A 27,366-nucleotide genomic window follows, 5' to 3' on the forward strand; every position below is an offset into this window, starting at 1 on the left:
TGTGTTGCCCAGTCTGGTCTGGGACTCCCACGCTCAAGTGATCATTCTGTCTTAGCCTTCTGAGTAGCTGGGACTACAGGCACATGACACTGCTATTGAATCAACTCTGCTGATCAAATAATTAACAGAAGTCCCAGCAAAATTACCTTCACATCTCAATTAGTATTCTGTAGAGGATAAATTATTATAATTATTATTTTTGAGATGGGGTCTCACTCTATTACTCAGACTGGAGTGCAGTGGCACTCTATTTCTTAAAAAAAAGTAGAGGCGAGAAGAAGTTTTTAACATTAAAAAAAATCATTTCTTCTTCAAAAGGAAGTATAATATGCAGACAAGGAGCTATGTGAATAGATAATGGCATAAAATGTTCTAATCATTATGTATTTCTAGAATACATATGAGATTTCTAGAATAAATTAGGTATGGCAAAATAAATCTAAAAGATGTTCCTGAGAAATCACATACTAATATTGTCCATTATACTATAATTAATTTTTATATGGGAACATATCTGAATTACAGCTGTTTGGGCATGGTGGCTGGCTAATGCCTATAATCCCAGCCCTCTGGGAGGCTGAGCAGGAGACTCGCTTGATGCCAGAAGTTCAAGACCAGCCTGGGTAACATAGCAAGACCCTGTCTTTACAAAAAATAAAAATATTAGCTGGGTGTGGTCATGTGCAGCTGTAGTCCTAGCCTCTTGGGAAGCTGAGGTGAAATGATGGCTTGAGCTCAGGAGTTCAAGGTTACAATGAGCTATGAACACGCCATTACACTTCAGCCTGAGTGACAGAGTGAGACCCTGTCTCTGAAAATAAATGAATAGGCCGGGCTCAGTGGCTCATGCCTATAATCCCAGCACTTTGGGAGGATGAGGCGGGTGGATCACTTGAGGTCAGGAGTCCAAGACCTGATCAACATGGTGAAACCCCGTTTCTACTAAAAATACAAAATTAGCCGGGCATGCTGGCACACGCCTGTAATCGCAACTACTTGGGAGGCTGAGGCAGGAGAATCGCTTGAACCCGGGAGGCAGAGGTTGCAGTGAGCCGAGATTGCGCCATTGCACTCCAGTCTGGGCAACAAGAGCAAAACTCCATCTCAAAAATAAATAAATAAATAAATAAATAATAAATAAATAGATGAATAAATAAAAATAAAGCCTATATCTTTCCTTTATAAGCTAAAATAGTTTGGAAGCAAAGCAAAAAGAAGGATATTATAAAGCAATATCAACTCTAATCATTCCAGGTATTGGTAATCACTGTATAAACAAAAAATAAGAATCATACCTGTATGGGTAGCCATGATATTTAGATCTAAAAATAGAGAGCATCCAACTGAAGAATAATACAACAAGTCCAATACCAGCCACACACATTACTGCAGAAAAATAAAAGGAGAGTAAAATGAGCAGGTTGAGTATAATAAATAACCATGGCAGTCTATACTTTCTTTTTTTATTTTATTTTATTTTATTTTATTTTATTTTATTTTATTTTATTTTATTTTATTTTATTTTTGAGACGGAGTCTCGCTCTTTCGCCCAGGCCGGAGTGCAGCGGCGCGATCTCGGCTCACTGCAAGCTCCGCCTCCTGGGTTCATGCCATTCTCCTACCTCAGCCTCCAGGGTAGCTGGGACTACAGGCGCCCGCCACTGCGCCCAGCTAATTTTTTGTATTTTTAGTAGAGACGGGGTTTCACCTTGTTGGCCAGGATGGTCTCGATCTCCTGACCTCATGATCCGCCTGCCTCAGCCTCCCAAAGTGCTGGGATTACAGGCTTGAGCCACCATGCCCGGCCTGGCAGTCTATACTTTCAGAGAGTGAAAAGGAAGGGGTATACATTATTGATAAATCTCAACTTTTCAACAATTTTCATCCCTATTTCTTAATCTTCAGGAATCTGCCTTCCCCTTTAATTTGCTCCATTACAATGTAATAGAGTAACTCCTTTACATAATTATGCAATTCAAATGTATGAAATAATGAATTCCTTTAAAGTCATCACACTGAAAGGTTTACTGTTAGAAACACTGTTACAATCGACAAGAAAATCACCCATTTGGTTTTTTGGTTTTCTTTTTTTTTTTTTTTTGAGTCAGGGTCTTGCTCTGTTGCCCAGGCTGAAGTGCAGTGGCACAATCACAGCTCACTGCAGTCTCAACCTCCTGGGCTCAAGCAATCCTCCCACTACAGCCTCTTGAGTAGCTGGGACTACAGATGTGTGCCACCATGCCTGGCTAATTTTTTAATTTTTTTGAGAAGACGGTGTCTCACTACATTGCCCAGGCTGGTGTTGATCTCCTGGGCTCAAGTGATCTTCCGCTTCAGCCTCCCAAAGAGCTGGGATTACAGGCATGAGCCACGGTGCCCGGCTTACTTATTTATTGAACTTTAAAACCCCTAAAAGTGGCCTTGTAGTATTGATAAACATTAACTTAGACATCTGATGACTTCATTGTGATAGCCTCACTTGAAAGTACTTTATTCATGCACAGATAACTACACAGCCTTATATATGTAACTCAATAAACATGGATTTCTTATTTGAATGAGAAAAAAAATCTGATCCCTAGCCCTAGATTCATAGCTCTCTCCACTAATCCCACATGTCATGTCCTACATTAGCACAGCAGTTATTAAAGTGAACTACAAATACTAATCCCCAAATGCGCAAGTATGGATTGTCATGATGTGAAGCTCTTTCAATCCCCGGACTAAAAATGGCTAAGAACTATAGAGATAGGGATGTAGGGAAGCATGTGTCCAACAGCAAAGGAAGCTCTAGGGCAGGGGTGTCCAATCTTTTGGCTTCCCAGGGCCGTACTGGAAGAAGAGCTGTCCTGGGCCACAAATAAAATACACTAACACTAATGATAGCTGATAAGCTGAAAAAAAAAAAAATTGCAGAAAAAAACCCTCATGATGTTTTAAGGAAGTTGACAAGTTTGTGTTGGGCCGCATGTGGCCCACAGACTGGACAAGTTTGTTCTAGGGTAACATACTTAGTGACTGATAAGAAAATCAATTTTCGGCCGGGCGCTGTGGCTCATGCCTGTAACCCCAGCACTCTGGGAGGCCAAGGCGGGTGGATCACGAGGTCAGGAGTTCAAGACCAGCCTGGCCAAGATGATGAAGCCCCATCTCTACTAAAAACTACAAAAAAAATTAGCCAGGCGTGGCGGCAGGCACCTGTAATCCCAGCTACTCGGGAGGCTGAGGCAGGATAATCGCTTGGCAAAGCTTGCAGTGAACCAAGATCGCGCCACTGCACTCCAGCCTAGGCGAAAAAGCAAGCCTCTGTCTCAAAAAAAAAAAAAAAAAAAAAAAAAAAGAAAAGAAAAGAAAATCAACTTTCAGTTTTGTTTTACTTATGGAACAATTCTTTTGCCTTTTCTAATTGTTACACAATATGACTAGGGCTTAATGTGTAAATGTTAAACAATATTTCTCTTTAATTCTTTTCTAATTTACAAAAAAGAAGTGCAGCTTGCTGCCAATGCTCATTTAATTTTATATAATCACGCTGTTTGAGGCTGAAGTAAATCTGACTGATTTTCAATGTGAAAATAAAACAAAAACTGTTGTTGGAGTTATTACTAAACAGAACTAACATCAGAATCGTCTGAATCATCACAATAGTCTATTTCAGAAAAATTGAATTCATCAAATGAATCTTTGGCCAACAACTGTTCGAGAATGGTGTAAACATTACACGTGGAATGCTACATTTTCTAGGATTTGACATTTTCAGTGATCAAGAATTACTATATTTTGTAAATGGAAATACCACTATAATGGAAATAAAAATGGACTGATGTCTAGTATATTAGTATATTATTCTATTTACAGCACTCTGTTTTCAGTAGTGGTAATGGATCACTTGAACCCAGTGATATCTAACATATCAATTTTGTTTCCAAAGTTGATATACTAGAGTGGATGTGAAAACAATAATTAAAGCACGATATTTTGTGGCAGAGTTATCTCAGCGTAAACACTGCAGCCACAAGCACTGCCAGTGAGTATTCTCAGGGCAAATGGGAAAAGGGTTAACTTAACCAAAGAAGTGAAAGAACTCTATGATGAAAACTATAAAACACTGCTGAAAGAAACTGAAGAGGACATCGAAAAATGGAAAGATGTTCCACGTTCATGGATTGGAAGAATGGATGTTGTTAAAATGTCCATACTATCTAAAGCAATCTATAGATTCAATGCAATCCTTATTAAAATACCAATGACAACTTCACAGAAATAGAAAAAACAAAATTTATATGAAATCACAAAAGACCAATGATAGTCAAAGCTATCCTAAGCAAAAAGAACAAAACTGGAGGAATCATATTACTTGACTTCAAATTATACTATAGAGTTATAGTAACCAAAACAGCATAGTACTGGTGTAAAAACAGACATACAGACCAGTGGGACAGAAGACAGAACTCAGAAACAAACCCATACACCTACAGTGAACTCATTTTCAACAAAGGTGCCAAGAACATCCACTGGAGAAAACACAGTCTCTTCAATAAAAGGTGCCAGGAGAACTGGATATCCATAGGCAGAACAAAACTAGACCCCTATCTCTTGCCATATAGGAAAATCAAGTCAAAGTGGATTAAAGACTTAAATCTAAGACTGTACACCATATATATATATATGCATATATGTATATATATGCATATATATACATGTGTGTATATATATGCATATATGTATATATATGCATATATATACATGTGTGTATATATGCATATATGTATATATATGCATATATATATATACATGTGTGTATATATATGCATATATATATACACACACACACATAAATAAAAGACAAGAGTCTTGCTCTGTTGCTCAGGCTGGAGTGCAGTGGCATGATCTTGGCTCACTGCAACCTCCACTTCCTGGGCCAAGCAATCCTCCTGCCTCAGCCTCCCAAGTAGCTGGGACTACAGGCACACACCACCACACCTGGCTAATTTTTGTATTTTTAGTAGAGACAGGGTTTCACCATGTTGGCCAGGCTGGTCTCGAACTCCTGGCCTCAAGTGATCTGCCCTTCTTGGCCTCCCAAAGCATTGGGATTACAGGTGTGAGTCACTGTGCCTGGCCTAAGACTGCAAACTATTAATATGAAACAACTATAAGAAAACAATGGGGAAACTCTCCAGGACATTAGTCTGGGCAAAAATTTCTTGAGTAATACCCCAGAAGCACAGGCAACCAAAGCAAAAATAGACAAATGAGATCACATCAAGTTTAAAAGCTTCTGCAGAGCAAAGGATACAATCAACAAAGTGAGGAGTCAATCCACAGAATGGGAGAAAATATTTGCACAGTACCCATGTGACAAGGGGTTAATAACCAGAATATAAAAGGAGCTCAAACAACTCTACAGGAAAAAAACTAATGATCTGATCGAAAAAACATAAAATCTTTTTTTTTTTTTTTTGAGACGGAGTCTTGCTCTGTCGCCCAGGCTGGAGTGCAGTGGTGTGATCTCAGCTCACTGCAAGCTCCACCTCCCGGGTTCACGCCATTCTCCTGCCTCAGCCTCCCAAGTAGCTGGGACTACAGGTGCCTGCCACCATGCCCAGCTAATTTTTTTGTATTTTTTTTCAGTAGAGATGGGGTTTCACTGTGTTAGCCAGGATGGTCTCGATCTCCTGACCTCATGATCCACCTGCCTCGGCCTCCCAAAGTGCTGGGATTACAGGCGTGAGCCACCGCAAAAAAAGAAAATATTTCAATAGACGTTTCTCAAAAGAAGACATACAAATGGCAAGTAGGCATAAAAAAACTACTCAACATCAATGATCATCAGAGAAATGCAAATAAAAATTGCAATGAGATATCTATCATCTCACCCCAGCTAAAATGGCTTATATCCAAAAGACAAGCAATAATAAATGCTGGCGAGGATGTGGAAAAAAGGGAACCCTTGTACACTGTTGTACACTGTTGGGGGGAATGTAAGTTAGTATAACCACTAAGAAGAACAGTTTGGAGGTTCCTCAAAAAACTAAAAATTGAACCACCATATGATCCAGCAATCCCACTGCTTGGGTATACACCCACAGAAAAATAAATCAGTATACCGAAGAGATATCTGTACTCCCATGTTTGTTGTAGCACTGTTCCCAATAGCCAACATTTGGAAGCAACCTAAATGTCCATCAACAGATGAATGGATAAAGAAAACGTGGTACATATATACAATGGAGTACTATTCAGTCATTAAAAAAATAAGATCCTGTCACTTGCAACAACATGGAACTGGAAATCATTATTATTATTGTTGAGATGGAGTCTCGCTCTGTCACCCAGGCTGGAGTGCAGTGGCGCCAGCTTGGCTCACTTCAACCTCTGCCTTCCAGGTTCAAACAATTCTCCTGCCTCAGCCTCCTGAGTAGCTGGGATTACAGGTGTGCACCACTACGCCCAGCTAATTTTTGTATTTTAGTAGATACGGGGTTTTACCACGTTGGCCAGGGTAGTCTAGAACTTTCTGACCTCAAATAATCTGCCCCACTTGGTCTCCCAAAGTGCTGGGATTACAGGAGTGAGCCACCATGCCCAGCCTTGGAAGTCATTAAGTGAAACAATTCAGGTACAGAAAAAAAAATCATATGTTCTCACTTATTTGTGGGATCAAAAAATGAAAACAATTGAACTCATGGACACAGAGAGTAGAAGGATGGTTACCAGAGGCTGGGAACGGTAGTTGGGGAATGCCGGGGGAAGTACGGATGGCTAATGGGTACCAAAAAAAATAGAATAAATAAGACCTACTATTTGATAGCACAACAGGATAACTATAGTCAATAATAATTTAATTGTACATTTTAAAATAACTAAAAAAGTATAATTGGATTGTTTATGACACAAAGGGTAAATACTTGAAGGATGGATACTGCAGTCTCCGTGATGTGACTATTACACATTGCATGCCTATATATCAAAACATCTCATGTATCCCATAAATATATACACCTACTATGTACCCACAAAAATTAAAAATAAAATACTTTTCCTGAGTATTAACACATGCTGAGTGTAGACAAGTTAGCCTTTTATTCTCTAAGAAAATGTACTCATAGACTGCGTGTGATGGCTCACGCCTGTAAATCACAGCATTTGGGGAGGCCAAGGCAGAAGGATTGCTTGAGCCCAGGAGTTCAAGACCAGCCTGGACAATGTAGCGAGGCCCCATCTCTACAAAAAATTACCCAGGTGTGGCAGTGCATGCCTGTAGTCCCACCTACTAGGAAGGCTGAGGTGGGAGGATCACCTGAGCCAGGGAGGTCAAGGCTGCAGTGAGTTATGATCTCTCCACAGCACTCCAGCCTGGGCGACAGAGTGAGACCCTGTCTCAGATTTAAAAAAAAGAAAAAGAAAATGTGCACATACGTATATACAGCATCACTCTGTATATATTTGTATCCTCCTCTTTTCATACATCTAAAAGTGCTTAGAGCAGTTCCCAGAACATGCTAAAGAAACGTCTATTAATTTGTGATCATTTTGTTAGGTAAGAAACTTAGGAGATCAAATTGTGACTATTTCAGTATATGTTGCCAAAATGTTTAACAATTTAAGTTCATGTCAGTAATGTACTTTGATGGCCTTTTCCCAAGAATAAACACTGAAATAGGCAATTTTTAAACAGTCAGGCAAAGTCTACAGCCATAGCACCCTGAACGCGCCTGATCTCGTAAAAAGTCAGGCAGTGAAAGGACATATACTGACTGGATTAAAAACTATAAAATGCTTACTTTGGCAGCATATATACTAAAACTGGAATCATACAGAGAAGATTAGCATGGCCCCTGTGCAAGGATGACATGCAAATTCGTGAAGTGTTCCATATTTTTTTAAAAAAATTTTAAAAACTGATACATTAATTATTTTTCTAACACGTAAAAATTCATTTTTTTAGAGATTGAGTCTCGCTCTGCTGCCCAGACTGAAGTGCAGTGGTGTGATCATAGCTCACTGCAGCCTCTAACTCCTGGCCTCAAGCCATCCTCCTGTCCCAGCCTCACAAGTAGCTGGGACTACAAGTGCGTTGTACCACATCCAGCTAAAAAAAATCTATTTTAATTGAGCAAAACAAGTATTTCTCAAATTTTAAGTTCAGTATCTTCATCTTTTTTCTAGAAGTTAAAGTAAATATTAGACTTTATTTAGGTAGGGTAATTTTTATGACATTTAACTTTTTTATTTATTTATTTATTTTGAGATGAAGTCTCACTCCGTCGCCCAGGCTGGAGTGCAGTAGCGCGATCTCGGCTCACTGCAACTTCCGCCTCCTGGGTTCAAGTGATTCTCATGCCTCAAACTCCCAAGTAGCTGGGATTACAGGCACGTGACACCATGCCTGGCTAATTTTTGCTTTTTTAGAGACGGGGTTTCGCCATGTTGGCCAGGCTAGTCTCGAACTCCTGACCTCAGGTGATCCACCTGCCTTGGCTTCCCAAGTGTTGGGATTTACAGGTGTGAGTCACCACGCCTGGTTGACATTTAACTTTTTAATCATAAAAGGAAAATCTTGACTTATTTCATGAAAGTAAAACCAAATTACATTGTTAGATTCTCTCTGCAACAGATAACAATGTGTGAATATTCTAATATATAAAAAGTTCATGCAGGCTGGGCATGGTGGCTCACGCCTGTAATCTTAGCACTTTGGGAGGCCACAGTGGGAAAGGTTGCTTGAGCACAGGAGATACAGACCAACCTCGGCAATAAAGTGAGACCCCATCTCTACAAAAAATAAAATTAAATTAACTGGGAGTGGTGGCATGAGCCTGTGGTCATAGCTACCTGGGAAGCTGAGGCAGTAGGACTGCTGGAGCCCAGGAGTTCGAGGCTACAGTGAGTCATTATTGTGGCACTGCACTCCAGCCTGGGCAACAGAGTAAGGCCTGGCCTTAAAAAAAAAAAAAAAATGTCCAGCTGAGCACGGTGGCTCACGCCTATAATCCCAGAACTTTAGGAGGCTGAGGCAGGCACATCATGAGGTCAGGAGTTCGAGACCAGCCTGGCCAACATGGTGAAATCCCGTCTCTACTAAAAATACAAAAATTAGCTGGGCGTGGTGACGTGCACCTGTAATCCCAGCTACATGGGAGGCTGAGGCAGGAGAATTGCTTAAACCCAGGAGGCGGAGGTTGCAGTAAGCCAAGATCACACCACTGCACTCCAGTCTGGGAGACAGAGCAAGACTCCGTCTCGAAAAAAAAAAAAAAAAATTCCTTGCAAACCAAATAAAAGGGCTAAGACTCTAACAGATAAATGGCAAAAGACAAAAGGACAATTTATAGAAGGAAAAACATAAACACAAATGACTAGTAAACATTTAGGAAAATATTTGACCTTATAAAAATAAAAGGAGTACAAAATAATACATTTCCACCTTATCTGATTGGCAAATATATATGTATCTATAAAACAGATACATATTAATGAGATTAATGCTGATAAAATTACAATGAAATGGCTGGGCACAGTGGTTCATGTCTGTAACCCCAGCACTTTGGGAGGCCGAGGCGGGCGGATCACGACGTCAGGAGATCAAGACCATCCTGGCTAACACAGTGAAACCTCATCTCTACTAAAAATACAAAAAAATTAGCCAGGCATGGTGGCGGGTGCCTGTAGTCCTAGCTACTCGGGAGACTGAGGCAGGAGAATGGGGTGAACCTGGGAGGCAGAGCTTGCAGTGAGCTGAGATCGCGCCACCGCACTCCAGCCTGGGCGACAGAGCAAGACTCTGTCTTAACAACAACAACAACAACAAAACCAATGAAACAAACATTCTTTTTTTTTTTTTCTTTAAGATGAAGTTTCACTCTTGTTGCCCAGGCTGGAATGCAATGGCACGATCTCGGCTCACTGCAACCTCTGCCTCCCAGGTTCAAGCGATTCTCCTGCCTCAGCCTCTCAACTAGCTGGGATAACAGGCATGCGCCACAACGCCTGGCTAATTTTTTTTTTTTTTTGAGATGGAGTCTCGCTTTGTCACCCAGGCTGGAGTGCAGTGGCGTGATCTCGGCTCGCTGCAACCTCTACCTCCTGGGTTCAAGCAATTCTCCTGCCTCAGCTGCCTAAGTAGCTGAGATTACACACGCACGCCACCATGCCCAGCTAATTTTTGTATTTTTAGTAGAGACGGGGGTTTCACCACGTTGGCCAGGCTGGTCTCAAACTCCTGACCTTGTGATCCACCTGCCTTGGCCTCCCAAAGTGCTGGGATTACAGGCGTGAGCCACCGCGTCTGGCCAAATTTTTGTACTTTTAGTAGAGACAGGGTTTCATCATGTTCATCAGGCTTGATGGCCTCGAACTCCTGACCTCAAGTGATCCACCCGCCTCGGTCTCCCAAAGTGCCAGGATTACTGGCATAAGCCACTGCGCCCGGCCAAAACAAACATTCTTAAATACCAGTAGTAGAAATCTAAATTATTTTAACTTGCCAAAATAATCTGTAATGATTAAAACATCAAGAGAATTGAAAATACTCAGACAGAGGACCACACAGTTATTCTTCTTCTAGGAATCTACCTTAAGGAAACAATATTAAATAAGAATGATGGCTGGGCGTGGTGGCTCATGCCTGTAATCCTAGCACTTCAGGAGGCTGAGGCAAGTGGATCACCTGAGGTCAGGAGTTCAAGACCAGCCTGGCCAACATGGTGAAACCCCGTCTCTACTAAAAATACAAAAAAAAAAAAGAAAAAAAAAACCCCAAAAAACAAAAAAACTAGCCGGGCGTGGTGGTGGGCGCCTGTAATCCCAGCTACTCAGGAGGCTGAGGCAGGAGAATCACTTGAACCTGGGAGGCAGAGGATGCAGTGAGCCGAGATTGCACCACTGCACTCCAGCCTGGGTAGTAAGAGCAAAACTCTGTCTCAAAAAAAAAAAATGATGCTTAATGTATCATGATAGTTACTGAAGAATAATTATAGTTAAAATTAGGAAAAAACTAAACATTGAAAAAAATCGGAATAGTTAAATTATAATATAGAGTATAAGTCAGCCAGGCACGGCAGCTCACGCCTGTAATCCCAACACTTTGGGAGGCTGAGGTGGGAAGATCACTTGAGTCCAGGGGTTTGAGGCCAGCCTGGGCAAAGTGACAAAACCCCATCTCTACAAAAAGTACAAAATATAAGCTGGGCATGGTGGCACATGCCTGTAGTCCCAGCTACTAGGGAAGTTGAGGTGTGAGGACAGCTTGAGCCTAGGGGCGGAGGTTGCAGTGAGCTATGATTATGCTACTGCACTCCAGCCTGAGTGACAGAGTGAGACCCTATCTTAAAGAAAACAAACAATAACAGAGTATAAGTTTAAAATTATGTATATAGAAAAAGTTATTAGTTATTTAACTCCAGTTTAAAAAGGGGGTGTGAAGTGTCAAAATTTTATATATACAGTTTTTAAGGTTTTTATAAGTGGAAAGAAATATATTACAATTTAAAAATAATTAGTTTTTCAGTGGTGGAATGTTTCATGCTCCTGTTTTTTTACATTTTCTATAATGAGCATATATTAATTTTAAAATAGTAAAGGAGTTTAATAACAGATATGACATTTAAAGAAAAAAATAGTAAAGGGGTAAAATAACCTACTTATCCTATAAGTAAGAGGAAAAGTGATTAAGAGATCACTCTTTTTCCATAGTACAGGCAGCACTGTTACATTTTGAGTAAGGTGACTTACTCTTTCGCTTTCCAATATCCATGTCAGAGGTAGCAGCTTCACATAAAAGCACCATTCCTAAGGTAACTCCACCATCTAAGAAAAATTGTTTAAGGAGAAATTCGCACAGACAAAAAAGACATACCATTTTACTATTTCCAGTTTCTCATGAAGAAAATTAAAATGAATATATAAACCTTCAACTCTTCATTATAAAAAACCAAAATAAGGAATCTTGTATCTATACGGCATGACAATTATTTACTATGAAGATACAAAAAATTAAAATTGGAAGATTACTTCATTTGTGCAAAGAAAAATTGATATTTTAAACAAATGTCCCACCATAACTTACAGATGAAATATGAGTTTTCCCGAAATTGTACTTTGAAATAACCTGTCTGGACATTCAGTTATTGCCCTGACCTCAAACACATTTAAAAATATTAAATGGCTTTTTTTTTTTTTTGAGACAGGGTCTGGCTCTGTCACCCAGGCTGGAGTGCAGTGACGCAATCTCAGCTCACTACAACCTCCACCTCCCAGGCTCAAGCCACCCTCCCACCTCAGCCTCCTGAGTAGCTGCAACTACAGGTGCTCACCACCACGCCCAGTTAAATTCTGTAATTTTTTTTTTTTTTTTTTTGTAGAGATGGGGTTTTGCCACGTTGCACACGCTGGTCTTGAACTCTTGACCTCAAGCAATCCACCTGCCTCGGCCTCCCAAAGTGCTGGGATTATAGGTGTGAATGACCACGCCCAGCCCTAAATAGCCATTTTGAATATTTCACCCCACCTCCCTAAAGAACACATTTGAAATATATATCATTTAGGGAGAACAGTAACTACTTTTTATTTGAAAATTAATTTCTGAAAAATCTCTCCTGGCCTAGTTTAGCGGTTCACACCTGTAATCCTAACAGTTTGGGAGGCCGAGGCGGGCCGATTGCTTAAGTCTGGGAGTTCAAAACCAGCCTGGGCAACATGGTGAGACCCTGTTTCTACCAAAAAATACAAAAAATTGGCCAGGCTGGTGGCACATACCTGTAGTCCTAGCTACTTGGGAGGCTGAAGTAGGAGGATCACTTGAGCCTGGAAGGTTGAGGCTGCAGTTAGCCGTGATCATACCACTGCACTCTAGCCTGCATGATAGAACTAGACTGTGTCAAAAAAAAAATTCTCCATATTTTCAATAATACTTTATTTTTTAAATTTTTCCCATGCCAAGATGCCAAAAGTACATCAATAATTAGCCTTTAAAGCACAAATTACTACTAACCTATCTAATTTTATCCTATTCTAATAAAAAAGAAAAATCCTGGCCGTGCGTGGTGGCTCACGCCTGTACTCCCAGCACTTTGAGAGGCAGAGGTAGGCGGATCACCTTAAGTCAGGAGTTCAAGACCAGCCTGGCCAACATGGCAAAAACCCGTTTCTACTAAAAATACAAAAATTAGCCGGGCGTGGTGGCAGGCGCCTGTAATCGCAGCTACTTGGGAGGCTGAGGCAGGATAATCACTTGAACCCGGGAGGCAGAGGTTGCAGTGAGCCGAGATGGCACTACTGCACTCCAGCCTGGGTGACAGAACAAGACTCCATCTCAAAAAAAAAAGAAAAAGAAAAAGAAAAATCCCACATGTGCCATGACCACACTTTTATTCAGCTTAATAGGAGCTGCATAAATACAAAATACAACAACCCATACAAATAGGTAACAGATGGCATGGTTGAATATTAAAATAAGCAAGTTCAAATTTTAAAGCAAATAGAATGTGTTCTAGTAGAAAAGAGAGACAGATTCACCCTGCAGTTTAGTGAATACTAACAGCAGTAAAACACTCCCAAATCAATTATACATATGTACATACATGTTGTATGCTACCGCATGTGGGTATCATTAAGCGGAAAGGGAAAAATATGTGCCCTTTAGATGAGGCCTGAATTTATAATTGGCTCTAAAATTTGACTTGTCATCCCTTCATTACCATCTTGCATTCTTTTTTAAATTTTTTAATTTAATTTATTTATTTGAGACAGGGTCTCACTCTGTCACCCAGGGTGGAGTGCAATGGCATAATCACAACTCACTGCAACCTCCACCTCCCAGGCTCAAGAGATCCTCCTGCCTCAGCCTCCTGAGTATCTAGGACTACAGGTGCATACCACGCCACGTTCGTTTTGTTGATTTTTTTGTAGAAACGGGGTCTCACTATGTTGCCCAGGCTGGTCTCAAACTCCTGGACTCAAGCAATTCTCCAGCCTGGGCCTCCCAAAGTGCTGGAATTACAGGCGTGAACCAATGTGCCTGTGCCCCATCTTGCATTCTTTCTTCAATAGCCTCTTGTTAGGGATGATGCCCATTCATCATGTTTTCAGTTGTTCAGCCAAGTCTCTTCTCCAGCAATTTTTTCTGAGTTCTTTATCTGCAGGTTTGTGCAAAGATTGATCATTTCGTTTTTTAAAATTTTTATTTATTATACTTTAAGTTTTAGGGTACATGTGCACATCATGCAGGTTTGTTACACATGTATACATGTCCCATGTTGCTGTGCTGCACCCATTAACTCGTCATTTAACATTAGGTATATCTCCTAATGCTATCCCTCCCCCAGTATTTTTTTGCCAGTATTTTATTGAGGATTTTTGCATCAATGTTCATCAGGAATATTTGGTCTAAAATTCTCTTTTTTTGTTGTGTGTCTGCCAGGCTTTGGTATCAGGATGATGCTGGCCTCATAAAATGAGTCAAGGAGGATTCCCTCTTTTTCTATTGATTGGAATAGTTTCAGAAGGAATGGTACCAGCTCCTCCTTGTACCTCTGGTAGAATTTGGCTGTGAATCCATCTGGTCCTGGACTTTTTTTTGGTTGGTAAGCTATTAATTATTGCCTCAATTTCAGAGCCTGTTATTGGTCTATTCAGAGATTCAACTTCTTCCTGGTTTAGACATGAGAGGGTGTATGTGTCCAGGAATTTATCAATTTCTTCTAGATTTTCTAGTTTATTTGTGTAGAGGTGTTTATAGTGTTCTCTGATGGTAGTTTGTATTTCTGTGGGATCGGTGATGATATCCCCTTTATCATTTTTTATTGCATCTATTTGATTCTTCTCTCTTTTCTTCTTTATTAGTCTTGCTAGCGGTCTATCAATTTTGTTGATCTTTTCAAAAACCAGCTCCAGGATTCACTGATTTTTTTGAAGGGTTTTTTGTGTCTATTTCCTTCAGTTCTGATCTGATCTTAGTTATTTCTTGCCTTCTGCTAGCTTTTGAATGTGTTTGCTCTTGCTTCTCTATTTCTTTTAATTGTGATGTTAGGGTGTCAATTTTAGATCTTTCCTGCTTTCTCTTGTGGGCATTTAGTGCTATAAATTTCCCTCTACACACTGGTTTAAATGTGTCCCAGAGATTCTGGTATGTTGTGTCTTTGTTCTCGGTTTCAAAGAACATCTTTATTTCTGCCTTCATTTTGTTATGTACCCAGTAGTCATTCAGGAGCAGGCTGTTCAGTTTCCATGTAGTTGAGTGGTTCTGAGTGAGTTTCTTAATCCTGAGTTCTAGTTTGATTGCACCGTGGTCTGAGAGACAGTTTGTTATAATTTCTGTTCTTTTACTTTTGCTGAGGAGTGCTTTACTTCCAACTATGTGGTCAATTTTGGAATAGGTGTTGTGTGGTGCTGCAAAGAATGTATATTCTGTTGATTTGGGGTGGAGAGTTCTGTAGATGTCTATTAGGTCCGCTTGGTGCAGAGCTGAGTTCAATTCCTGGATATCCTTGTTAACCTTCTGTCTCGTGGATCTGTCTAATGTTGACAGTGGGGTGTTAAAGTCTCCCATTATTATTGTGTGGGAGTCTAAGTCTCTTTGTATGTCTCTAAGGACTCGCTTTATGAATCTGGGTGCTCCTGTATTGGGTGCATATATATTTAGGATAGTTAGCTCTTCTTGTTGAATTGATCCCTTTACCATTATATAATGGCCTTCTTTGTCTCTTTTGATCTTTTTTGGTTTAAAGTCTGTTTTATCAGAGACTAGGATTGCAACCCCTGCCTTTGTTTTCCATTTGCTTGGTAGATCTTCCTCCATCCCTTTATTTTGAGCCTATGTGTGTCTCTGCACGTGAGATGGGTCTCCTGAATACAGCACACTGATGGGTCTTGATTCTTTATCCAATTTGCCAGTCTGTGTCTTTTAATTGGAGCATTTAGCCCACTTACATTTAAGGTTAATATTGTTATGTGTGAATTTGATCCTGTCATTATGTTAGCTGGTTATTTTGCTCGTTAGTTGATGCAGTTTCTTCCTAGCATCAATGGTCTTTACAATTTGGCATGTTTTTGCAGTGGCTGGTGCCGGTTGTTCCTTTCCATGTTTAGCGCTTCCTTCAGGAGCTCTTGTCGGGCAGGCCTGGTGGTGACAAAATCTCTCAGCATTTGCTTGTCTGTAAAGGATTTTATTTCTCCTTAACTTATGAAGCTTAGTTTGGCTGGATATGAAATTCTGGGTTGAAAATTCTTTTCTTTAAGAATGTTGAATTTGGCCCCCACTCTCTTCTGGCTTGTAGAGTTTCTGCTGAGAGATCAGCTGTTAGTCTGATGGGCTTCCCTTTGTGGGTAACCCGGCCTTTCTCTCTGGCTGCCCTTAACATTTTTTCCTTCATTTCAACTTTGGTGAATCTGACAATTATGTCTTGGAGTTGCTCTTCTCGAGGAATATCTTTGTGGCGTTCTCTGTATCTCCTGAATTTGAATGTTCGCCTGCCTTGCTAGATTGGGGAAGTTCTCCTGGATAATATCCTGCAGTGTTTTCCAACTTGGTTCCATTCTCTTTGTCACTTTCAGGTACACCAATCAGACGTAGATTTGGTCTTTTCACATAGTCCCATATTTCTTGGAGGCTTTGTTCGTTTCTTTTTATTCTTTTTTCTCTAAACTTCTCTTCTTGCTTCATTTCATTCATTTGATCTTCCATCACTGATACCCTTTCTTCCAGCTGATCGAATCGGCTACTGAGGCTTCTGCATTCATCACGTAGCTCTCGTGCCGTGGTTTTCAGCTCCATCAGGTCCTTTAAGGACTTCTTTGCATTGGTTATTCTAGTTAGCCATTCGTCTAACCTTTTTTCAAGGTTTTTAACTTCTTTGCCATGGGTTCGAACTTCCTCCTTTAGCTCGGAGAAGTTTGATCATCTGAAGCCTTCTTCTCTCAATTCATCAAAGTCATTCTCTGTCCAGGTTTGTTTCTTTGCTGGTGAGGAGCTGCATTCCTTTGGAGGAGGAGAGGCACTCTGATTTTTAGAATTTTCAGTTTTTCTCTTCTGTTTTTTCCCCATCTTTGTGGTTTTATCTACCTTTGGTCTTTGATGATGGTGACATACAGATGAGGTTTTGGTATGGATGTCCTTTCTGTTTGTTAGTTTTCCTTCTAACAGTCAGCACCCTCAGCTGCAGGTCTGTTGGAGTTTGCTGGAGGTTCCCTCCAGACCCTGTTGGCCTGGGTATCAACAGTGGAGGTTGCAGAACAGCAGATATTGGTGAACAGCAAATGTTGCTGCCTGATTGTTCCTCTGGAAGTTTTGTTTCAGAGGAGTACCCGGCTGTGTGAGGTGTCAGTCTGTCCCTACTGGGGGATGCCTCCCAGTTAGGCTACTTGGGGGTCAGGGACCCACTTAAGGAGGCAGTCTGTCCGTTCTCAGATCTCAAGCTGCATGCTGGGAGAACCACTACTCTCTTCAAAGCTGTCAGACAGGGACATTTAAGTCTGCAGAGGTTTCTGCTGCCTTTTGTTTGGCTATGCCCTGCTCCCAGACCTGGAGTCTACAGAGGCAAGCAGGCCTCCTTGAGCTGCGGTGGGCTCCACCCAGTTCGAGCTTCCCGGCCACTTTGCTTACCTACTCAAGCCTCGGCAATGGTGGGTGCCCCTCCCCCAGCCTCGCTGCCGCCCTGCAGTTTGATCTCAGACTGCTGTGCTAGCAATGAGCGAGGCTCCGTGGGCGTAGGACCCTCCAAGCCAGGTGTGGGATATAATCTCCTGGTGTGCTGTTTGCTAAGACCATCAGAAAAGCACAGTATTAGGGTGGGAGTGACCCGATTTTCCAGGTGCCATCTGTCACCCCTTTCCTTGGCTAGGAAAGGGAATTCCCTGACCCCTTGCGCTTCCCGGGTGGGGCGATGCCTCGCCCTGCTTCGGTTCACGCTCAGTGCGCTGCATCCACTGTCCTGCACCCACTGTCTGACAATCCCCAGTGAGATGAACCCAGTACCTCAGTTGGAAATGCAGAAATCACCCGTCTTCTGTGTTGCTCACGCTGGGAGCTGTAGACTGGAGCTGTTCCTATTAGGCCATCTTGGCTGCACAAAGGTCTTTTGTTAATGTGATCATTTCTTTCTTTTTTTTTTTTTTTTTTTGAGATGGAGTTTTGCTCTGCCACTCAGGCTGGAGTGCAGTGGAGCCATCTTGACTCACTGCAACCTCTGCCTCCCGGGTTCAAGAAATTCTCCTGCCTCCGTCTCCTGAGTAAGCTGGGATTACAGGCACATGCCACCACGCCTGGCTAATTTTTGTATTTTGAGTAGAGACGGGGTTTACCCATGTTGGCTAGGCTGGTCTCGAACTCCTGATCTCAGGTGATTCACTCACCTCAGCCTCTCAAAGTGCTGGGGTTACAGGCATGAGCCACCATGCCCGGCCAAAGATTGATCATTTCTACAGGCTTTGATTTCTGGGTACTCTCTGATTAATGATTGAGACTTGCTCTGGGGAAAGCTTGTCTTTTTATCATGGTTTATGTGCTTTTGCTTTGAATGAGCTTTCCTTCTTGCTAAATACCTCAAGGTCTTTTGTGTACTCTTCTTAGCTGTCAAGAGCTATGATGCAGTTCTATGTATACTGTTTTATTTCATTTACTGATCTTTAAATTTTTACTAACACTGCCTACTATATGGCAGGCACTATAAACTGTTGGAAATAAAAAGTTGAACAAAATAAAGATCCTACCATGAAGAAGATTACACTCTAGTGAGGAATACAAACAATGAAATACATAAATTACACAGTCCTGATTAAATGTTACTCCAGGAGAACTGAGCAGAAATAGAGGAGACATTATTCCATAACATACAACAACTAGGCTATTAAAAGCTAGTAGAAGGCCAGGCGTGGTGGCTCACGCTTGTGGCCAAGACGGGTGGATCACCTAAGGTCAGGAGTTCGAGACCAGCCTGGGCAACATGGATATGATATATCCATTATATAAACATTAAAAATATTGACTACTTTTCTTTTTCTTCGTATTTTCAGATTTCTTTGTAATTTTTATGTATTTTTATAAATATAAAGGCCATACAACATAGAAAATGCTTATAATATATTAAGATAGCAAACTCCATACACAACATGTCTACAAGTATAAAAAATGAACACCCTTACCATGAAACATTCATATAGAAATGAATGCAAGATAATATGCAAAAGTAAATGTAGTTTATACTATTAGGGTTTCAGGTTATAGGTGAACATTTTCCAGACTGCTACTTTATTTTAAAAATTCAGGAGGCCAAGGTACGAGGATTGTTTGAGCCCAGGAGATTGAGACCAGCCTGGACGACAGGGCGAGACTCCATCTCTAGAAAAAAATACAAAAATTAGCTGGGTGTGGTAGTGCTCACCTATAGTCCCAGCTACTCAGGAGGCTGACGTGGGAGGACTGCTTGATTCTGGGAGGTCGAGGTTACAGTGAGCTATGGTGACCCCACTGTACTCAAGCCTGGGCAACACAAGATTTCATCTCTAAAAAAATAAACATAAAAAAAATCCATATATATTTATTCTGGGATTCCATTTATTGTGTTTTCTTTTTTTTTTTTTTTATTTTGAGACAAAGTCTGGCTCTATCAGCCAGGCTGGAGCACAGTGGTGTGATCTCAGCTCACTGCAACCTCTACCTCCTGGGCTCAAGCCACCCTCCTGCCTCAGCCTCCCAAGTAGCTGGGACCACAGGCACGCAGCACCACACCCAGTTAATTTATGTACTTTTTTTAGTAGAGAAAGGGTTTTGTCATGTTGGCCAGGCTGGTCTCGAACTCCTGGCCTCAGGTGATCTGCCTGCCTCAGCCTCCCAAAGTGCTGGTATTATAGGCATGAGCCACCGCACCCAGCCCTGTAGGATTCCATTTATGTAAGTTAAAAAAAAATAGGTAAAATAAACCCATAGTGTTAGCAGTCAGGATAGCAGTTATTTCTGGGTGGGAAGGTGGCAATCAGGAGGAATGATGATGGAAAATGCTCTGAGATGTGGGTAAAATTTTATTTATTGATGTGAGTTCTGGTTACATAAGTGTGTTAATTCTGTGAAAATTCATCAAACTGGACTGGGCACCGTGGATCACGCCTGTAATCCTTACACTTTGGGAGGCCGAGGCAGGCGGATCAGTTGAGCTCAGGAGTTCGAAACCAGCCTCGCCAACATGATGAAACCCCATCTCTACTAAAAATATCAAAAAAACTTAGCCAGGCATGGTGGCAGGTGCCTGTAATTCCAGCTACTCCAGAGGCTGAAGCAAGAGAATCGCCTGAACCTGGGAGGTGGAGGTTGTAATGAGCTGGGATCACACCATTGAACTCTAGCCTGGGCAACAGAGCAAGACTCCATCTCAAAAACAAAAAACAAAAAACCAAAAAAAAAAAAAAAAAAGGAAATTCATCAAACTGTAAACTTTTGTAAACTTTTCTGCATAACTGCAACACTTAAAATGTAATTTTAAAGGTTGCTTAGATCAGGCAACTGATTATATAGTCTGCTTTATTAATCATGCAATAAACTGTACATTAAACTAATAATAAATATGTGAATATTTTCCAAAATCATAACTACTACTTAGAGGTGGCCTCAGTCTATTAATTATTATCAACCTGGAAGCTGTAAACAATGTTACCGGTCTTGAGGTTTCATATTTACTTTAAAAGAAAGTGGGGGCCGGGTGAGGTGGCTCACGCCTGAAATCCTAGCACTTTGGGAGGCTGAGATGGGTGGATCACCTGAGGTCAGGAGTTCAAGACCAGCCTGGCCAACCTGGTGAAACCCTGTCTCTACTAAAAATAAAGAAATTAGCCAGGTGAGGTGGTGCACACTTGTAATTCCAGCTACTCAGGAGGCTGAGGCAGGAGGATCGCTTGAACCCAGGAGGTGGAGGTTGCAGTGAACCAAGATGGTGCCACTGCACTCCAGTCTGGGTGACAGAGCGAGACTCCACTCAAAAAAAAAAGGGGGGGGGGGTGGGGAGTGGTTAGGCCTTTTCTAATATTCCTTACCTCTGACAAAATTATTCATTTTCTCACTATTTCTGGTACACAGCACTTAAGTCACTGTCTTATAATCTGTATACATGTCTGACTCTGAAAAAAGTTCACTTTTTGCATCCTAATAACCAAACACAAGACATTCTATATCCCAACAGGATTGTAATCCGTTCCAAATGTATACTAAACCTTAGGCTGATGCTCAGTCTTAAAGCAGAGGTAAAATGACAATTTTCTAATTTCTTAAACTTCTTATATATTTAAAAGTTTAAGACAAAGCTAAAAGACCAACAAACCCCAAATCAACTAATTAATACTTTACAATTTTAATTGCTCTTTTGCTCCATTATTCAATTTCAAAGTACTAGTGAGAAGAACTGATTCAAGATACTGAAAATTTTCTAAGGTATAATAATTTGTTAATCCATCAAACCATACTTTTCTTTTCTGTTCTTTTTTTTTTTTTTTCTTTGAGACAGAGTCTCGCTCTGTTGCCCAGGCTGGAGTGCAGTGGCAGTCTCGGCTTACTGCAACCTCCACCTCCTGGGTTCAAGCAATTCTCATGCCTCAGCCTCCTGAGTAGTTGGAATTATAGGTGCACACTACCGTTTCTGGCTAATTTTTGTATTTCTTGTTGAGATGAGGTTTCGCTATGTTGGCCAGGCTGAATCCATCAAACCATAAATGAACATTGTCTTTCTTTTTTTTTCTTTTGAGACAAGAGTCTCACCCTGTCATCCAGGCTGGAGTGCAGTGGCACCATCTTGGCTCACTGCAACCTCTACCTCCTGGGTTCAAGCGATTCTCCTGCCTCAGCCTCCAGAGTAGCTGGGATTACAGGCGCCCGTCACCATGCCTGGCTGTTTTTTTTTTGAGACAGAGTCTCACTCTGTTGCCCAGGATGGAGTCCAGTGGTACCATCTCGGCTCACTGCAACCTCTGCCTCCCAGGTTCAAGCAATTCTCCGGCCTCAGCCTCCCCAGTAGCTGGGATTACAGGCGTGCACCACCATGCCTGGCTAATTTTTGTATTTTTAGTAGAGACAGGGTTTCACCATATTGGCCGGGCTGGTCTCGAACTCCTGATCTCAGGTGATCCGCCTGCCTCAGCCTCCCAAAGTGCTGGGATTACAGGTGTGAGGCAGCACGCCTGGCCGTCTGGCTAAGTTTTGTATTTTTGGTAGAGACAGACTTTCCCCATGTTGGCCAGGCTGGCCGCGAACTCCTGACCTCAAATGATCCACCTGCCTCTGCCTCCCAGAGTGCTGGGATTACAGGTGTGAGCCACCACACCCAGCCCATAAACGAACATTTTCAACTAAAATTTTAGGATTAAAAAAAATAAAGTTTGAGTAATATTTTTCTTTCAGTCTTCCCCCGCCCCGCCGCCCGCCCCCTGAGATGGAGTTTTGCTCTAATTGCCCACGCTGGAGAGTAATCACACGATCTCTGCTCACTGCAACCCCTGCCTCCTGGGTTCAAGAGATTCTCCTGCCTCAGCCTCCTGAGTAGCAGGGATTACAGGCACCCGCCACCACGCTCAGCTAATTTTTTTTTGTATTTTTAGTAGAGATGGGGTTTCACCATGTTGGCCAGGCTGGTCTCGAACTCCTGATCTCAGGTGATCTACCCGCCTTGGCCTCCCAAAGTGCTGGGATTACAGGCATGAGCCACCACGCCTGGCCTCAGTCTTCTTTCTTCTCATATGGACTAGGTGTATATTGTTAATCTTTCAGCCCACCATTTCATGGTTGAATAGATTAATTCTCCCAGGTTTGGGCTGGATGTGAAGCAGTAAGTATATTTTCCATAGTGCATAAGAACATTTTCCCAAATATCCTTCAATTAAAATCAGTTAAAATCAAAAGCTTAATATTTTTTTAGAATGCTTTCCTTAAAATCTCTCTAATCATCAACATAGTATAATAAAACTGGGAAAGACATACACAAACATTTACTAAAGATAGAATTTTCAGTGGTTTTGAATTTTTTTCTTTATACTTATTTGTATTCTAAATTTTCTTTAATTTATATTCCTTTTGCAATCAGAAAAAAATATATTTAAGTTTCGTTTTTTTTCCCTTTTTTATTAGAGACAGGGTCTCACTGTGTCGTCCAGGCTGGAGTGCAGTGGTGTGATATCAGCTCACTGTTGCCTTGACCTCCTGGGCTCAATTGATCCTCCCACCTCAGCCTCCCTGGTAGCTGGGACCACAGGCATGCATCACCATACTTGGCTAATTTTTTGTGTGTATTTTTTTGTAGAGATGGGGTTTTGCCATGTTGCCCAGGCTGGTCTCAAACTCCTGGGCTCAAGCAATCTACCCATCACAGCCTCCAAAAGTGCTAGGATTACAGGTGTGAGCCACCATGCCCAGCTGATTCTTGTATATCAATGTCAGGACACCCTGGCTGAGAAGCACAATTCCAGGAACATTACATTTGTTCACCTTGTTGATTTGTTCCAGAGTCAGTGCTTATGTACTCAGGTGGGTAAACTATGTTTAGTCATATTATGAAATTTAGATTCTTACTTATCTGACATCGCTTTTACCTGTCTTTGCAGCTTACAGAGGCATCCACTTTTAGATATAAGAAAATAAAAATTAGCTTGGGCCAAGAAAGTAAAAATATTCCTTGTCATTCAAGAGAATGGAACAACACAAACATAAAGCAGCTGCAAAGTCCACAGGAAGTATTTTTCCCTAGCACACACTTCAGCTGTAAAATGTCAAAATATCCCCATCTTTGAGTAATTACTGTTTTCTTACTGAGGAATATTGGTCTTTAAATAGACTTCTTGCAATTATATGAGTAAAAATGAAATATTCTTGCTTGGCAGATCTAAGTCACTCAATTTACACGTATAATTTCTAAGTAGCCTCAATTTACAACCAAGGTATAGAGCTTCAAAGAAGAAGTTTTTGAAGACAAAAATCCCACATTTATGTTAACTTTGTAGTTTCCAAGCAAACAGAACCCTGGGTCTGATTGACAGTTCAGACCTGATGTTGACCCCTTTACACAGCCTTACACTGCTTTTAGCCTATCAAAACAATGCTTTGTTTAAATTTCACATAAACTCCACTATTCTCCCAAATCCTATTACAACTCTATCTTTTCTTTGTTAAGATGTTCCATGGTTCTTCTAATGTACAGTATTCCTCATATTAATGAGCCAATAAACCTGGCCCTATCAGACTACAGATTTGTCCCTAGTAGTCTTTGGTTTATTGGGCTGGAGAGGATGATACAGTAATGATTTTCAAAGGATATTGTGACTTGCATTAAGAGAACAGCCCCAGCCAAATGCTGTAGAGAGAATACTAGACTGTGAGAAAACAGACAAAATACAGCAAGAAAGACTTATTGTAAAAGGATACTAAACAGAAGAACAATGTGTGTTTCAGCTACAAACTGGGCTTGACTGCTTCCATGGATATAATTCTAGGAGGGAAAAAAGACAAAATGGAATCTTTAAGTATACATTAAATGTTGGTATGCTAACCCTAAAACGGGGTATTTTAAACTATGAAATTATTAATTCACCTGATAAACCATGTGACATACTCCGGGTCTGTGGCATTCATCAGTAAGTCTGGTTACTATAAGGCTATTTTTGTATTATCTATTCTCGATTTGTCTTTTCATTGTACTAATACTATGTTTATTTTTGAGACAGGGTCTTGCTCTGTTGCCCAGGCTGGAGTGCAGCGGCATGATCATAGCTCATTGCAATCCCAAAGTCCTGGCTCCGGTGATCTTCCTGCCTCAGCATCCCAAGTAGATGGGACTACAAGTATGCACCACCATGCCTGCTCAGCTAATTTTTAAATTTTCATTAGAAATGACATATTGCTATGTTGGCCAGGCTGGTCTCAAACTCCTGGGCTCAAGCAATCCTCCCACCTCAGCCTCCCAAATGCTTGAATACTGTACTTATATTTTCAACAACAGAATATGTCAGAAAACTAGTTGTTGTTGTTGTTTTTTCTTTTCTTTTTTGTTTTTCATAGAGATGACGTCTCACTATGCTGCCCAAGTTGGTCTTGAACTCCTGGCCTCAAGTGGTCCTCCTGCCTCAGCCTCCCAAAGTGCCAGGATTACAGGTATTAGTCACCACACCTGGCCCCATTTTTTTTTTAAGGAGATGGATCTTGCTATGTTGTCCAGGCTGGGCTAGAACTCCTGGATTCAAGTCATCCTCCTGCCTCAGCCTCCCAAGTAGCTGGGACTACAAATGCAAAACACTGCACCTGGGTGAGAAAACTAGTATTTAAGTGTACAAGACCATGAGGTACAATAATGTAGGCTCCATGAAGACAGGGATCATGTTTTTCTTATCACTATATTTAATAATAATTAGCACAGTGCTTAGAAACAGTGGATGCTCAGGTACTTGATCAATTTTTCTATTTAGTTGAAGGCTGTCTTTCATTCTTAGCTAGCTTGGTTAGAAGGATTCACCAAATGGGAAAAGGAACTTCCCACTTTTAAGAGCACTGCGGCCGGGTGCGGTGGCTCATGCCTGCAGGCCTGTATTCCCAGCACTTTGGGAGGCTGAGGCAGGCGCATCACCTGAGGTAGGGAGTTTGAGACCAGCCTGACCAACATGGAGAAACCCTGTCTCTACTAAAAATACAAAATTAGCTGGGCGTGGTGGCGCATGCCTGTAATCCCAGCTACTCAGGAGGCTGAGGCAGGAGAATCACTTGAACCAGGGAGGTGGAGGTTGCAGTGAGCCGAGATCACGCCATTGCACTCCAGCCTGGGCAACAAGAGCAAATCTCCGTTTCGAAAAAAAGAAGAAAAAAAAAAAGAGCACTGCATGGTCTTATCAGTGATGGAAGCTTGTTAACACAAGAGAGATTGAAAAGTGAAGACTAAATCCAGCTCCTTCATATGCTGGCACTGTTCTCACAGGGTAATAATCATTGAGTTAACTTTGGTCTACAAAGGAAAGAAATCCCAGACTTCCCTTACCACATGTCCCGTGTGGGGATTCTTATGGGCATATGGTGGTCCTCTTATATGGTTCCACATTTGACCAGATGTCATAGCAAGCACAAAACACTAGGAAACAAAAAAATAATAAAATATTCATGGTCAAACTGTTCTTGTCTTGATTAGATAACAGGAATATGAAAATGTGCATCTGTTTAGTTAAGACATAGAATTTTTTGCAGATAAATGATTTATTAAGGCTTATATTTCATCCCAAGGATCACAATTCGATAATACTTCAAAAGGAAAACACTATTTTTTTTTTTTGACATGGAGTCTCGCTCTTTTGCCCAGACTAGAGTGTAGTGGCGCGATCTCGGCTCACTGCAACCTCCGCCTCCCAGGTTTAAGCAATTCTCCTGCCTCAGCTTCCTGAGTAGCTGGGACTATAGAAGCATGGAACCACGCCCAGCTAATTTTGTATTTTTAGTAGAGACAGGGTTTCACCATATTGGCCAGGTTGATCTTGGTCTCTTGACCTCGTCATCTGCCCACCTCGGCCTCCCAAAGATATGGGATTATAGGTGTGAGCCACTGCGCCTGGCCAGGAAAACACTATTTAAAAATTATAACTATGCAGACACAAGTTTCAAAATTGAATACTGAAAAGGCTTTTTAGAATAAAATTTTCAGGCTGGGCATGGTGGCTCATACCTGTAACCCCAGCACTTTGGGAGGCTGAGGTGGGCGGGTCACCTGAGGTCAGGAGTTCAAGACCAGCCTGGCCAACATGGTGAAACCCCGTCTCTCCTAAAAATACAAAAAAATTAGCTGGGCGTGGTGGCACACGCCTGTAATCCCAGCTACTCGAGAGGCTGAGGCAGGAGAATCATTTGAGCCCAGGAAGCAGAGGTTGCAGTGAGCCAAGATGGTGCCACTGCACTCCAGTCTGGGTGACAGACCAAGACTCCGCCTCAAAGAAAAAAAAAAAAGAATAATATTTTCAGAACAACTAGAGATTTTCATAGAGATGACAGTCTGTCATTTAGGTTGAATAAAAGGCAGGTACAATCAGTTCCTTGAAGTTCTGGCCATCCTTATGAGATAATGAATGAAACAAACTGATTTTAAGACAGAAAATTAAAATATATAAAACTATTTTCCTCAGGTAAGAAATAAAATGCTACTTCTCACATAAATAAAAGCTTACCTAAAAATACACTATTAGGAATTTTATTCAAATAATTTTTTGTCTTCTGAAATTCACTCACCAAAGCTGCAAAAGCCCATCCAGTTTTATTAAAGAGAAATTCCATATTACTTCTTCGAAGATACACAAGTCCACCAATAACAGCCAAAAGCAATCCCAACATAAGGGGACCAGCATAATTTGGGGGTCTAATCACTCTAATCT

At 41.3% G+C, this 27,366-nt stretch overlaps 1 protein-coding gene and 1 pseudogene across 2 annotated transcripts in view; one reads left to right on the forward strand and one right to left on the reverse strand.

Moving 5' to 3' along the window:
• Positions 1-27,366, reverse strand: part of MAGT1 (magnesium transporter 1) — a 69,822-nt gene that overhangs the window by 3,763 nt on the left and 38,693 nt on the right. For both annotated transcript variants that reach the window (NM_001367916.1, NM_032121.5), the window contains exons 5-9: positions 27,224-27,364; positions 25,992-26,081; positions 24,392-24,455; positions 11,737-11,811; positions 1,296-1,386 (exon numbers count right to left, since the gene is read on the reverse strand). In NM_001367916.1, coding sequence (NP_001354845.1) covers positions 1,296-1,386; positions 11,737-11,811; positions 24,392-24,455; positions 25,992-26,081; positions 27,224-27,364 — 461 coding nt within the window. The remainder of the gene's footprint in view (positions 1-1,295; positions 1,387-11,736; positions 11,812-24,391; positions 24,456-25,991; positions 26,082-27,223; positions 27,365-27,366) is intronic.
• RNU6-854P (RNA, U6 small nuclear 854, pseudogene) lies at positions 7,780-7,886 on the forward strand (annotated as a pseudogene).

The sequence above is a fragment of the Homo sapiens genome, chromosome X, assembly GCF_000001405.40.
Source record: "Homo sapiens chromosome X, GRCh38.p14 Primary Assembly".
NCBI classification, from domain to species: Eukaryota; Metazoa; Chordata; class Mammalia; order Primates; family Hominidae; genus Homo; species Homo sapiens.